At 36.8% G+C, this 16,611-nt stretch overlaps 1 long non-coding RNA gene across 2 annotated transcripts in view; it reads left to right on the top strand.

Annotated features, from left to right (window-relative positions):
• Positions 1-16,611, top strand: part of LINC03019 (long intergenic non-protein coding RNA 3019) — a 45,630-nt gene that overhangs the window by 18,915 nt on the left and 10,104 nt on the right. For both annotated transcript variants that reach the window (NR_015383.2, NR_152742.1), the window contains exons 2-3: positions 4,120-4,232; positions 14,208-14,310. This is a non-coding gene — a long non-coding RNA (long intergenic non-protein coding RNA 3019). The remainder of the gene's footprint in view (positions 1-4,119; positions 4,233-14,207; positions 14,311-16,611) is intronic.

Raw genomic sequence — 16,611 nt, 5'->3', positions numbered from 1 at the left:
ACAACTGGGAATGACTATAATTATTCTCAAAAAGACAGGATAAGTGCTTAATTTTTTCACTAAAACATTTCAGAGTAAGTTGTTGGCATAATAGTAGCCTCTGGCTACTATTCTTTTTCTTTCTTGTTTTTATAGTATCATGTGGACTCATGAATTCTTACTTATTCATTGGATTACAATCAATTACAGTCATTATTGTTTTGAATAGTCGTAAATTTGGCCAGTTGGAGGCCCTTCAAACTCACTGTGTCCTTTTTAATTTGTTCTACTTTTATTTTGAAAAAATTTCAAACTCACAGCAATGTTGTGAATATAATACAAGACTCCTCATTTCCTCACCCAGTGGTTAACATTTTATGACATTTGATTTGTCATTCTCTCTTTCTTTGTTGCTTTTTTTCCCTTGAACCATTTGAGTAAATTGTAGTTATGAAACCTTATTAACTCCAAATACTTCAGCCTTTCCCCAAACCAAAGTATTCTTTTATATAACCATAAAACAGCCACCAAATCTGATAATAAATAGTATAATATTATCATCACCTCCCATCTGCTTCATCTGATTCTTCACTCAGAAAGAAACTTAGTGCTCAGATCTTGATGGAAAGAAGGCAGCCTGAAATGTTACAATATGCATGCTAAAACTGAAATATCTGTTTCCTATGACATGTTTGTAATTCTAGCAACTTTCTCTAGAACTGGGATATTATTTCACCAAATATTCTTAGATTAAGGTGTTACTGAGGAAGATAGTTGAGAGAAATCAGTCATAAATCTAGACCATTATTTTTGTTTTTCTCCAGCAAAATGCATTTTTCCATGTAAAGATGTGGAGAACCACAAATAGTTATCAAGATTTACTTAAGAGCAAGAGTTAAAAAAGAAGACCTCTAAGCAAATACTCGGCCTTGCTGACTTTAAAACAGCTTTTAGTGTACTTTTTTTATTTTTAGAGCTTCAAGTTTAATTAATACTTACATTAAGTTTTCAGCTATCATAAATGGCGCCACATCTTGGACTGTGCACAGAATAGCTGATTTGCAAACACTGGAAGTCTGGATGTTGGAAGTCTTCAAAAAAAGTCTTTAGCTCTCTGAGGTCTAAAAAAAAATCTGAATATTGGGCTTGTTTTATCCTTTGACCTTAATGACAATTTTATTTTGTTTTTTACCAACACATGCTGCTTTAGAAAAGGTTATTTTATTTAGTTTTTGAAAACTGTATTTTAAAATTTGAACTATGAGGTGGTTTGATTACTTATTAACATATCTTTTGAAATTCTTAAATTACAACCCATGCATATATTACATTATTGTGAAATATTATGGTGATTGCTTCCTAATTCAAATACTTCGTTTGTAAATAAAATAGTTACACGCCACACATTCTAGGGCTATCCCATGTAAAACCCCTCACATGATTTTAAGTACTAGACATGCAGTTAAAACTTAAGATTTAGGGATTTGTTCTTTTTGTGGCCAGAAAGCATTTTGCCTTCTGTTTTTAGTTGCCATAACAGGAGTAATATGGTTTGGCTCTGTGTCCCAACCCAAATCTCATCTTGTAGCTCCCATAATTTCCACTTGTTGTGGAAGGGACCCAGTGGGAGATGATTGAATCACGGGGTTGGGTATTTCCTGTACTGTTCTCGTGATAGTGAATGGGTCTCAGGAGATCTGAAGGTTTTATAAACAGGAGTTTCTCTGCACAAGCTCTCTCTCTTTGCCTGCTGCCATCCCCCTAAGATGTGACTTGCTCCTCCTTGCCTTCTGCCATGATTGTGAGGCCTCCCCAGTCATGTGGAACCGTAAGTCCAGTAAAACTCTTTTTTTTTTTTGAGGCAGAATCTCGCTCTGTCACCCAGGCTGGAGTGCAGTGGCGCGATCTCGGCTCACTGCATGCTCCGCCTCCTGGGTTCACGCCATTTTCCTGCCTCAGTCTCCCGAGTAGCTGGGACTACAGGCACCCGCCACCACGCCCTAATTTTTTTGTATTTTTAGTAGAAACAGAGTTTCACCGTGTTAGCCAGGATGGTCTCGATTTCCTGACCTCGTGATCCACCCGCCTCGGCCTCCCAAAGTGCTGGGATTACAGGTGTGAGCCACCTCACCCAGCCAAACTCTTTCCTTTGTAAATTGCCCAGTTTTGGGTATGTCTTGATCAGCAGCATGAGAACAGACTAATACAAAGAGTATACCAAAATCTTGGAGTATCCCATCTTCCCTTGTACCTTTCTTTACTCCATGTCCTTACCCAAAGATCATAAACATAATCGCATCCACCACAATTCTTTACGTGCAAGAAGAAACTGCCCTGCTGGCTTCTGTTCAGGAGACTTTCTCTTGAGCACCATGAGCTCAAGTGAGTTTACCCTTACATGCATAATTCGTCCCCTAAATCTCCAGTCCCTTACACTCCCAGGGAGAATGGGAGAGACACGGCTCTTTTCCTATGATGTGCTCGCTGCAGTACTTTTAATGTAAGTTGCCTCTTAGCTTTTTATCTTCTGGTCTGTAGGTTGTTAAACATTTTATAACCATTCCCAGTCTCAGGACTGCCAGATAATTTTTCTATCTGAGGTGTAAGATGAGCCAAATTATTCTTCCTTTATAAATATTTTAAAATATATTTGAATTCACACAAAGACATAGCAAACGATATCTTTAACATAGAGTACAAATACTTCCTCAACATATATTATATACATATTACTTAGCAATATAATTTATTTGGACTTCAGGAATGAGGAAACCAGTTTAAGTCTCTGTTTAAAAAGACTTGTTGGGCCAGTGCGATGGTTCACGCCTGTAATCCTAGCACTTTGAGTGGCAGAGCGGGGAGGATCACTTGAGTTTAGGAGTTCGAGACCAGCCTGGGCAACATGGGGAGAACATAGGGCAATGCAGCTCAGGAGGCTGGGATTACTCAGGGGGCTGAGGTAGGAGGATCACTTGAGCTCAGGAGGTTGAGGCTGCAGTGACCTGTGATCATGCCACTGCACTCCAGCCTGGGCAACAGACACCCTATCTCAAAAAAATAAATAAAATGTCTTGCTATGTGTTCCTCTGTGAGTCCTATTTTTTGCAAAAGACGTTGGCCCATTAAGAAAACATTCCATCTAAACCCTAAGTAATAATCTCAAGTCATTGCTCAAGTTAAATGACGCTTCACATCTCGTGAAATGTATTTGTTTTGATAGCAGACCCATGGATCACATGCTGTTTATAACGCTTGGTAGACTGCAGAAGAGAGTGATATACAGGCAATATGACCCATGTAACCACAGAGGAGAATTGGTCTTTTCTCATCTGCACACATATGACCCAACCATGCTGTCTTGCACGTATTCTAGCTTGCACTTCTTTACTTCCTGGATGAAACAATGATTACTTTTACTTATTTATGACATCCTATCTCCAAAAAGAATCTAAAGCAGCTGGCAAAGTTGATTAATAGCCGTTGGAAAAATAGAGCCCAGGGCCGAAGTTGGGTTTATCAGGAAGAAATTTACACCACACTAAGCATAACAGTTGATCAATGCCAGGAGTGAGCTAAAAATTGCATGGGAAGACTTATTGATGCTCATTATGTAATTTTTTAGCAGTGCAAATACAAATGCACTGTAAAATCTGCAAAATATAGCAGGTTAATCAACCTAGACCATTTGCAATTATGAAAATGTTGTTGACAGCTTCAAAAATAAAGGTCATTTGTGTAACAAAATATACAAAGCTTGTCTTTGAATAAGAGCCACTCCTTACCCGAATAGAAATTAGGTCCAACTACAAACAAAATTTTCCCATAAAGGAAAATGTGAGATTTGCTGATTTGTTTTTCTCTGCCAGCCTAAAGAATGATGATGCCAGGAAGAATTTTTTTGGAACATGTGTACAAACAGGCAAAGATCCCCCTGAAATAAGGCCTAGAACTTTGGCATCATACAGTATTTCCCAACGTAGAATCCTTTATTATGAGGGCATTGAGCTGTTTTGAATTTTTTTCAGAAGGCATATTTTAAAATACATCTCAAATCTGAACATCCTAGTCCAGTCTCCACCATTTCTTACTTGGACTATTGCAGTAGTTTTTCAATTGTTCTTTTTTCTTCCATGCTTTCAGCACTACTGGCAAGCAAAGTGTTCACTGATGAATGAACAATTACATTTACCCACAGACTGAAATATGATGTTATTTTGTTTTGACTGAAATTCCAACTCACTGTGAGAATACTGGTAAGTTCATATAAATCAAAAGTTCTAATTGGAAGTCATTTATATGAGTGTATCATTACCTTTTTCCCCTAAGAATTCTTTTAGACTTTTTTTTAATGACTGCCTTGAAATTTTAGTACAATAGATGCACTGTGCTTTATGTATAAAAGAGTAAGGTGGGCCCAGCGCAGTGGCTCACGCATGTAATCCCAGCACTTTGGGAGGTCGAGGCAGGTGGATCGCCTGAGGTCAGGAGTTCGAGACCAGCCTGGCCAACATAAGGAAACCCCATCTCTACTAAAAATCCAAGAAATCAGCTGGGACTGGTGTTGGGCACCTGTAATTCCAGCTACTAGGGAGGCTGAGGCAGGAGAATGGCTTGAACCCGGGAGGCGAAGATTGCAGTGAGCCGAGATCGCGCCTTTGCAGTCCAGCCTGGGCAACAAGAGTGAAACTCACTCTCGAAAAAAAAAAAAGAGTAAGATGTATTCACTCATACCAGAAGAACCAATTTTTGCTTCCACTGAGAATACATGATCTATTAAGTAAAATGGGGAAAACTAATGTATTACTTAGCATACTATAGTTATTCTCATGGAGAAAATCTTCCTAAATATGGGGTCCATAAGAGAAAAATAGTGGTCCTAACTGATTTTTTATTGAAGTCAAGAACCAGATAAATAGCTGTTAACTCTATCATCTTTCTGGGGTATGTCTTCTTAATGCCAGTTGTATTCCTTCTTCCATATAGTTGAGAAACTATGGAAAATACAGGAAATGTACTGCACACAGAGCCCCTGCCTGTAGTTCCTGTCTAGCTTGCTGGCTATATTGGTTGATTATATGACTGCTATCTGTACCTGTTTACAATTCATAAGACATTCAGGGCTTTGTGGCTTTTTTTCCTGTCTCCTACATGAAGGGGCTCAGACCACAAGCATGCAAAAAGTAAGTAATCAAAGGCAATAATAAAACAACACAGAACGAAACTATAAGAAGATACAAGGCCAAGGCAGTATATAATTAAGGGTCAGGTGACTAATCCAAGAGTTAATGATTTTCAAAGTGCATCTTGTGGAACCTCCAGAGAGGCATCCCAGAGGCTGTCACAGAGACAAAGAAGGGTCCAAATTTAGGTCCAGGAGTAGAGTTTGTCAAGATGTAAGACTTAAGGTCTCCCACCATCACTCAACCAGAACCCTTCACTTTCATACATTTCTTGTGTTGGCGTTTTGCATGTTTTCTTTAAAGAACAATGTAATGATTTAGTCTGTTCTGTGAAGTTTTTTCTATGTTTGAACTGATTGAATTTAGAAAATTGTTTTCAGAGATATGATTTTTTTTTTAATATTGGCACACTTAATGTTAAAACTATTTGATCAGAAGATACTTAAATGTCAGAATCGACCACTGTTGTGAGAATCCAAAGATAATACCAGTGCTCTGAGGATACTTATTGTGCTAGTCTTTATGGCAATTGTTTCCAAATGTTAGTATTTATCAGAATCACCTGGAGGCCTTGTTGAAACAAGGGTTCTGATTCAATAGGCCTGGGTGGGGCAATTTGCTTTTTACTAGGTAGTAAGACTTGGCACCAACATAAATAAAAATGGTTTAAAATCACTACAAAAGAAGCCCAAAAGAATTTTTTTCTAAATACTCAAGATTTATCTTCTACACCTGGGGATCCCTCCTGCTCACTTTCGTTTTAGCCATGGTATTAAAATTAAAATACAGGTGCCATATAAGCATCAATAACTAATTTTGAGTTTGTAGGTTCTGTCATATGGTCAATTCCTATTAAGAATCAAAAGACTATGAATGCCTAATAGAGGTGCAAATAGTTCTCTTCCCTATACCACTTTTTTTTTTTTGAGACAGAGCCTTGCTCTGTTGCCCAGGCTGGAGTGCAGTGTCACAATTTCAACTCACTGCAACCTCTACCTCCTGGGCTCAAGCCGTCCTCCCACCTTAGTCTCCCAAGTAGCTGGGCTACAGGGGCATGCCACCTATACCTGGCTAATTTTTGTATTTTTTGTAGAGACAGGGTTTCACCATGTTGCCCAGGCTGCCCTTGAACTCCTGTGCTCAAGCAATCCTCCCACCTTGGCCCCCCCAAATTGCTAGGATTACAGGTGTGACCCACTGAGCCCAGCATCATATACCACTTTCTGCAAGAATATAAAAGGCAGAACAATACCACCCTATGTGATTAAGACAGTTGACTAGAGGTGTCCGGCACTAATCTCCTCTTCAAAGAAGGACCAAAATGGTGAGTAGAGTATGCTGAATAGAGTATGTAAGGGAGAACACTAGAATTCAGCAGGGAAGTGACAAGGACCCTCTGAGGAGGGAAACTCAAGATGATAGCCTAGAGAGGGCAGCAGAGCAGCTGGCCAGAGCCAGGAGGGGTTCCCCATTGTGAGGATTCCCTTTGCAAGAGATCTCCAACAGTCCACATTCCCATAACACACACCTGCAATCGTAGTGACAGGAAAGCCACTCGGGCCTCAAAAGCCCAGTGCTTAGTAAAGGGAGCTGCTTTGAGTCCATGTGATTACATTGTCCTGAAGAGGGAATTCACACTGGGTTCCACTCACCCTACAGAACACAGGCTGCTGCCACATGACACCATTTTAAGAATGGAACAAACACCAGGCTACATCCTGCCCTGGGGTCCAAGAACTCCTACATTTCCACATCCCTGAGGCCCAGCCAACATTCCCCTCATATCCACTTAGAGGGCTGCAGCATCATGACACCAGCTGGACCCAGCAGTGTGACTGCATGCCAGAGACCCAAGCCCCCACAGTGCCCTACACTCTGGGAAACAGGTGGTCTTGCATATTAGGGAGGCTGCCCCTAGGATTTATGGAGCTGAAGCTTGTACTCCCCAAAGCCTGAGAATCACCTGCCAGGGGCTGCCACCACCACCAATTACCTTGCCCCCTCCAGCAGCAGGGCTGCCACAGACCCGAGTGTGCCTCCGAGAGACTCAAAAGCCAATCCACCACTGGCACCTGCACGTGCTGCTAATGGACCCTGGAAATGATCCTTACCAGGGCTCACTGATGCCATAGTCTGTGCTCATGTGCACAATCCAGGGTCCTGAGAACCAGCCCATCTAGCACCCCAGGCTCCAGAAAAGTCTCACCACAGCCTTCATAAACAACTGTAACCTAAGCTACTAAGAAACTCACAGACACCACTGACAATGATACAGTCAAAGAAATCATATAGGAACTACACTATGACACCCACTGCAACCAAACCTAATGTGCTCTACCCAACTGACAGTATAGATATGTCTGCAGGAAAAAGTCTTTCACTGTGAAAACTACTGCATAAAACTGGAAGAAGTGACTGTTACACCAGATGTGTAGATATCAGTGTATGTACACAAAAAACATGAACAAGCCAGGAACATGACACCACCAAAGGAACATAGTACTTATCCAGTGACAGATCCTAAAGAAAAAAAACATAAAATTCTTAAAAAGGATTTCAAAATATTATTAATATAGTTGTATTAATAATAAAATAGTATTGATGTTAATGAAAATATAATTATTAATGAATTGATAGATAATATTAATGATTAAAATATTATTTTCTTAAGGAAACAGTGAGGCATAAGAATACAAACAAAACAAAGACATTTTAAAAAAGAATTCATAATGGGAATGGAAAAATTCAAAGAGATAGTGTATTAGTCCATTCTTGTGCTGCTACAAAGAAATACCTGAGACTGGGTAATTGATAAAGAAAAGAAATTTAATTGGCTCACAGCTCCACAGGCTGTATAGGATACATAATGGTGGCATCTGCTTGGCCTTTGGGGAGGCCTCAGGAAACTTACAAATATGGCAGAAGGCAAAGGGGGAGCAAGCACTTCGCATGTCTGGAGCAGGAGGAAGAAAGGGGGAGATACTACACACTTTTAAACAACCAGATCTTGTGATAACCCACTCTCATCATGACAGTACCAAAGGGGATGGTGTTAAACCATGAGAAACTGTCCCCATGATCCAATCACCTCCCACCAGGCCTACCTCTAGCATGGGGGATTACAATTTGACATGAGATTTGGGTAAGGACACAGATCCAGACCATATCAGATAGATATTATTAAAAAGAACCAAACAGAAATCCTAGAACTGAAGAATTTGATGATAAAATAAAAAATATAATTGAATGCTTCAGTATTAAACTAGATCAAGCAGAAGAAAGAATTTCTGTACTTGAAGACAGGTCTTTTAAAATAACCCAGTCAAACAAATAAACAAAAAGAATAAAAAGGAATAAAGAAAGCCTATGTGACATATAGGACAACATCAAGGGAACAAATATTCAAATTATGAGCGCTCCAGAAGTAGAAAAGATGAGAAAAGGCATAAAAAGCCTATTTAATTAAAAAATAGCAGAAAACTTCTGAAGTCTTGGAAGAGTTATAGAAATGCAGATAGAGGAAGTTTAAACATTCCCAAATAGATTTAACCCAAAAATGTCATCTCCAAGGCACATTATTGTCAAATTGTCAAACGTCAAAAAGTAGAGAGAGAATTCTAAAAATAGCAAGTAAAAAAGCATCAAGTCACACATAAGGGAATCCCCATCAGACTAATATCAGATTTCTCAGCAGAAACCTTACAGGCCAGAGAAAATGGGATGATAGACTCAAAGTGCTGAAAGAAGAAAACTGCTAGTCAAGAACACCAAACTGAGCAAAGCCATAATTCAGGAATAAAGCTACAAATGAAGTCTTTGCCAGAGAAGCAAAATGTGAGGGAATTTATCACCACTAGACTAGCCCTATAACAGATGCTTAAGGAAGTCCTACAAACAGAAGCTAAAAGATGGTATCTACCATCAAAAAAAAAAAAAAAAAAAAAAAAAACATGAAAGCATAAAACTCACTGGTAGAACAGATACACAAGTGAGAAGGAGAAAGGAATAAAAGGTTATCACTACAGAAAACCACCAAGTTGCAAAGATAAACAAGTGAGGAAAAAGGCCACAAAGGATATATGAGACAATGAGAAATCAACTAACCAAATAACAGGAGTAAGTCCTCACCTATCAATAACAATCATGAATGTAGACCATTTAAATCTCCTATTTAAGAGATACAGACTCACTGAATGGATTTAAAAACGGAAGACCCACCTATATACAAGAAATGCACTTCACCTGTAAAGACACACACAGACTGAAAGTAAAGGGTTAGAAAAAGGTATTCCACACAAACGGAAACCAAAAGTGTGTGGGAGCACCTAAACTTATATCAGACTAAATAGACTATAAGTCAAAAAAATAAATAGAAAGAGACAAAGAAAATCATTACGTTATGATAAAGGGATCAATTCAGCAAGAGGATATAACAATTGTAAATGAATATGCACCCAACACAGGATCACCTACATATTAAAAGCAAACATTATTAGAGATAAAGAGAGATACTTACCAATACAATAATAGTTGGGGACTTTAATATCCCACTTTCATCATTGGACAGGTCATGTAAGCAGAAAATCGATCAAGAAACATAGAATTAAGCTGCACTATAGACTAAATGACCAAACAGACATCTACAGAACATTGTATCCAACAGTTATAGAATATGCATTCTTCTCATCAGCACATGAAACATTCTCTAGGATAGATCATATTTTATGCCACAAAACAAATCTCAACAAATATAAAAAATAGAAATCCTATCAAATTTAGGAAATTTCAGAAAAAAATTGATAAATTCCTGGACAGACATAACCTACCAAGATAGAACTAGGAAGAAACAGAAAACCTGAACACACCAATAACAGACCAAAGTAACAAGGTTGAATCAGTAGTAAAATGCCTCCTAACAAAGAAAAGCCCAGGACCAGATGGCTTTACTGCTAAATTCTACCAAACATTTAAAGAAGAATGAGCAACAATTCTTTTCAAACTATTTCAAAAAATTGAAGAAGAGGGAATTCTTCCTAACTCATTTTATGAGGCCACCACTACCCTGATAACAAAACCAGACCAGGACACAACAAATAAAGAAAACATAGATGCAAAAATCCTCAACAAAATACTGACAATCTGAACCTAACAACACAATGAGATTATACATCATGACCCAGTAGGATTTATCCCAGTGATGCGAAGATGGTTCAACAAATGCAAATCAGTACTTGTAATTCTACACTTCAACAGAATAAAGGACAAAAAATGTATGATAATCTCAATAAATGCAGAAAAATAATTTGATAAAATTCAACATCTTTCATGATAAAAACTCTACAAACGTTATGTATAGAAGGAACATACTTCAATAAAATAAAGGCCGTATATGACAAACTCACAGCTACTATACTCAATACAGAAAGGCTGAAAGCCTTTCCTCTAAGAACTAGGGCAAGACAAAATTGCCTTTCACTACTGTTATTCAACATGGTACTGTAAGTCCTAGCCACGGCACTTAGGCAAAAAAAAAAAAAAAGTACATAAAGGGCATCCAGATTGAAAAAGAGGAAGTAAAATTGTCCTTCTTTGCAGACAACATGATCTTATATGTAGGAAAACCTAAGACACCACCAAAAAACTCTTAGAACTGTTAGAAAAATCTAGTAAAGATGCAGGCTGCAAAGTCAGCATGCAAAGAATAGCAACAATTCTACACACTAAGAATGAACTGGCTGAAAAGTAAATTAAGAAAGCAATCTCATTTATGACGAGAAAAGTAAAATACCTAGGAATAAATGTGAAATACATCTACAATGAAAACTTAGAGACACTGATAAAGAAATTGAAGAGGATACATACACAAAAATGGAAAGACATAGCATAATCATGGATTGGAAGAGTTAGTACTGTTAAAATGACCATACTATGCAAAGCAATCTACAGATTCAATGGAATCCCAATCAAAACACTAATGACATTTTTCACCAAAATAGAAAAAAATCCTAAAATTTGTATGGAATCACACACACACACGCACGTGCACACACACACACACAAACCCTAAATAGCCAAAGCAATCCTTTGCAAAAAGAACAAAGCTGAAGGCATCATACTGTCTGACTTCAAAATACATACAAAACTATAGTAACCAAAACAGCATGGTATTGGTATAAAAAAACAGACACATAGACCAATGGAATAGAATAGAGAACATAAACATAAATCTATGCAGTTACAGCCAACACATTTTCATCAAAGGTGGCAAGAACTTACATTGGATGAAGGACACCCTGTCAATACATAGTGCTGGAAAAAATGAATATCTATATGCAGAAGAATAAAACTAGACCCCTATATCTCACGACATACAAAAATCAACTCAAAATGGATTAACGACTAGTGCAGAAGACCCAAACCTGTAAGACCACTAGAAGAAAACATAAAGGAAATGCTTCAGGACATTGCAAGATTTTACGGGTAAGACTTAAAACAAACAGGCATCAAAAACAAACAAAAGAAGACAAATGAGACTATATAAAACCCAAAAGCTTCTGCACAGCAGAGGAAACAATCAGTAGAGTGAAGAGACAACCTACAGAATGGGAGAAAATATTCAGAAACTAGTCATCTAACGAGGGACTAATATCCAGAATGTACAAGAAAAGTTAAAAAAAAAAGGTAAAAAACCCCACAGAAAACAAATAATCCAATTTAAAAATGGGTAAAGGAGCTGAATATATGAATATATATATATATACATATATATGTGTATATATACGTATACATATATACGTATATATATATATTTTGAGATGGAGTCTTGCTCTGTCGCCCAGGCTGGAGTGCAATGGTACAATCTCCACTTACCACAACTTCGCTTCCTGGGTTCAAGCGATTCTACTGCCTCAGCCTCCGGAGTATCTGGGATTGTAGGCACGAAATATTTTTCAAAAGAAGACATACAAACAGCCAACAAATATGTGAAAAAAAATGCTCAACAACACCAATCATCAGGGAAATGCAAATCAAAATCATACCCATATATCATCTTACCCCAGTTAGAATGGCTATAATCAAAAAGACAAAAAATAACAAATACTGGCAAGGATGCAGAGAAAAGGGAATTCATACACTGTTGGTGGGAATGTAAATTAGTATAGCCATTATGGAAAACAGTATGGAGGTTTTTCAAGAAACTGAAAATAGGAAGACCATAGAATCCAGTGTTCTCACTGCTGGGAATTAATCTAAAGGAAAGGAAACCTCTATATCGAAGGGAAAACTTTATTCCCATGTTTTTTTGCAGCGCTCTTCACTATAGCCAGGATATAGAATCAACCTAAATGTCCGTCAAAAGATGAAAGGATAAATGTGGAATATATACACAATGAAATACTATTCAGCCGTAAAAAACAATGAAATTTTGTTATTCGCAGTAACATGGATGAGCCTGGAGGATATCATGTTAAGTGAAATAAGTCAGGCACAGAAAAATAAACACCACATGTTCTCACTCATATACGAGAGCCAAGAAATACTGAGCTTATAAAAGTGGAAAGAAGAATTGTAGTCATTAGAAGCTGGGAATGATAGGAGGAGGGAGAGGATAGGGAAAGAGGTTAATGAATACAAAGTTACATTGTACTGCTAGATAGGAGAAAAAAGTTCTAGTATTTTGTAGCACTGTTGGGCAAATATGGTTAACAATAATTTAGTTCATATTTTCAAAAAGCTAGAAGACAGGATTTTAAATGTCCATAACACAAACAAATGATGAACGTTGGAGGCGTTTGTTATTTTTATCTTTATACATTTCATCATTACACATTGTATACATGTATCAAAATATCACTCTGTATTCCATAAATATGTACAATTGTGTGTCAACTGAAAATCAAAGGAAAAAATAGGCCAGGCACAGAGGCTCACGCCTGTAATCCCAGCACTTTGGGAGATCAAGGCGAGTGGATCACCTGAGGTCAGAAGTTTGAGACCAGCCTGGCCAACATGACGAAACCCCATCTCTACTAAAAATACAAAAATTAGCCAGGCATGGTAGCAGGCGCCTGTAATTCCAGCTACTCAGGAGGCTGAGGCAGGAGAATCACTTAAACCTGGGAGGTGGAGGTTGCAGTGACATGAGATCGAGCCACTGCTCTCCAACCTGGGCAACAGAGCAGGACTCCATCTCAAAAACAAAAACAAAAAAGGAAAAAATAAACAAAGCCAATACTATACTATAAAATAACACATCTGTCTTTCATTACTCCTTATTTTTTATGCTGCTATAATTTCCTTCATGACATTGTTACCAAATGTTATTACATATACTTATATTTGTTTATCTTCTATCTTTCCCTCTGTCTATAGTGAGAGGAGGGCGGGGACTTGGTTTTGTTCACTGTTGTATCTCCAGTGTATAAACAGTGCCTACCAGTTAGTACACACTCTATAAATACGTGCTAAGTTAAAAAAAAGACTAATTTTGGTATTACTTTACTTGAATTTCTCATAAAATATTATGGAAGGCACTAATATTTTTAAAAATATAACATTTATGATTTGTTTTTCTGAGTATAAAATAAATTCATGTTAGAAATGGAAAGATTCAGAGAAACACAAAGAAAAAGAGATCACTAGCAACCCCACTGTAATTTTTTTAAGATTTATTTTATTTTATTTTACTTTGAGTTCTGGGATACATGTGTAGAAAATGCAGGTTTGTTACGTAGGTATACATGTGCCACGGTGGTTTGCTGCACCTATTGACCAGTCTTCTAAGTTCCCTCCCCTCCCCACTGTAATTTTTATCTACAGTATCTAGTGTTCCCTTTCTCTCTGCTCTGTGCGTGTGTGTATTTAAACAAACGAGATTGCATTACATTTTACGAGTTGCTTTTTGGAATCTTAATGTATTGGGAGCATTTCAATGTTGTTTGATATTTTTCTGTAGTACCATTTTATTGATTGCACAGTGTTAGTCCATATGGGTAGAATAATTTATTAAATTAAAATCCGCCTTTTATGTTTTCCAATTTTTCACAGTGAAAAAAATCATGAGAAGTATCCTCATAGGTGAGTCTTTTCACACATCTGCACTAGTGAATATCTGAATTTTAAAAGCCACTCCAGACCTACATAGGTGATGGTAAGCCATTTTGACAAGAAAATGTCATAATCCGTCATTGTTAGCAAATATTGACACATTACAAGTGAACATAACATTGGTTTATATGGCGTTAGGTAAATATTGTTTCCCTGAGATAACTTGTATCTAAGAACTTCTTGTGTTATATCTATAAGGTTTATGAGAATGTTTAAGATGTAATGTATTTCTGTTATTGAATTTCTGCTTTTATCTTTATGAATTCTATAATTTTGTTTTTCATAGTTTTGTTTTACGTTTCTTTTAAACTTCTTCATTTGCATAAGTGATAAACTTATCATCTCCATAAACCCTTCATAAGTTGAAAATCTCGTAAGTCGAAAATGCATTTAATACACCTAGCCTACCAGACATCATACCTTATCCCATCCTGCCTTAAAGGTGCTCAGAATACTGACATTAACCTACAGTTGGGAAAAAATTAAAATTCAAAGTACGGCTTTTACTAAATGCATATTGCTTTTGCCCCATGATAAAGTCAAAAACATCGTAAGTCCAGCTATCTTAAGTCGTGAATGATCTGTAGAGGTTAAATTGGGAATTTTGACCATTCGATGTTGCTTTTGTTACTTTTATTTTTTGTACATTTCCATCTATTGTTATAACTAATAAGGTTAGTCTAACTTCTGACATATTTTCTGACATCTTTCCTTATGCCTTATCATGTGGTCTCACTTATGTCATCTTGTTTTGTGCCTTTTTTTTTTTTTTTACAGCGACTCCATTTTGTTTCTCACTGCTAAAAATGCAGACATGGTTTTATTTTTATCTTTTCTACTGATTTGGGATATACAAGCTCTATGTTAAACTATTTATGGTTTGCTTTAAGATTCAAAAGCCTTCTTCGATTTTTATTTCCCTAATAATCTGAACCAAAATAAATCCTTTGGGTCATCTTCTAGCTAAGCTAAGGAAATAAATACAATCACAATCCCTTTGATTTTTCAGTTTTTATTAGTATAACTTGAGAATATAGGTTAATATTACTGTTTTAAAATTATTATCTTACATTATATATTTTCTCTTTCAAGAAATAGTTCAGATCATTTACTTTTGCACATGGATTAGATTTAAACCTACATACAAATGCTTTTGGTGCTCACTCCAAGTACTCTTGTGCCACTATTTCCCTATTCCTGAGCTCATAATTTTGCTTCATTCGTAGTCAACGTGATCATATAATCAAGTAATAGTTTTTCAAAAATTGTACATGGATGATACTTTCTCTAAGCTATGGCATTTATATACACATCTTTATTTCACCTGAAGGACAATTTGGCTGCCTATGAAGAGCTGGATCTGAAATAATTTTGTCTTAGTATTAGATAGAACCCAGCTGATCTCAAAGTCCATTTATCCTTTTTTTCTAAGTACCTTGTCTTGTAGCCTGGATAGGATTTAAATTTTTTATCCTTATAATTCAAAATGAGTGCCAGGATGTAGCTCTTTGTATCTCTTTGTACTTGATTTTTGCCTGGAATTAAATGATTCTTAAACTCTTCTCTCTCTCTCTCTCTCTCTCTTTCTCTCTCGCTCTCTATATATATATACATGCACATATATATGTGTATGTATATATGATCACTTTTGCAGAGTATTTCTCTGACCTTTTGTCTAGAACCTAAGTTACCCGTACGATGCTCTGAGTTCTCTGATCATAGCTACCTTCCTTCTTTCATCTTTTCACATCCATCCACTCTATTTTCATTCTGTAAGAACTCAACTTTGTTTCCATATCCCTAACTCATTTTCATCCACTCCAATTGTGCCTTACACATCTTCAACAGTGAATTATTCCATTGTATTTTTAGTGTCCTTTTGATCCTGTCCAATGTCATAAATAACCCTCTCCTTTCCTTTTCTCTACATGACCATTCTTTCATCTTGATTTTTCATTGCTTGTACTTACACCTTTTATTTCCTGGAGGCTTTGCAGTCTTACAGTCTACTGAGGGTGCTTTTCTTCTGATTTCTGTAATAAGTCACATTCAGGGGTGCATTTTTAATTTGTCTCCATATGATATTTCATTTCATCTGAGCAAATTTTTATAGGCTCCATTTATTTCTTATCTTTACTTGTAGTAAGTAGAGACTAATTTAATGTTTGCCAACATATATTATATATGAATCACTATTGAGCCCCTTCCTGAATGTAGGTTGTAACCAAGTTCCTTTTCCAGATCTTTAGTTGAGGGAAGTTAATAACTATTCCAAATTTCTGATACATATTCTTCTATTATAAAACAATAAATTATTGTTTTTTGACTCCTAATTTCTGATCCC

Source organism: Homo sapiens, chromosome 8, assembly GCF_000001405.40.
Source record: "Homo sapiens chromosome 8, GRCh38.p14 Primary Assembly".
Taxonomy (NCBI): Eukaryota; Metazoa; Chordata; class Mammalia; order Primates; family Hominidae; genus Homo; species Homo sapiens.
The sequence above is the reverse complement of the archived record's forward strand: the minus strand, read 5'-3'. Positions and strand labels throughout refer to the sequence as shown.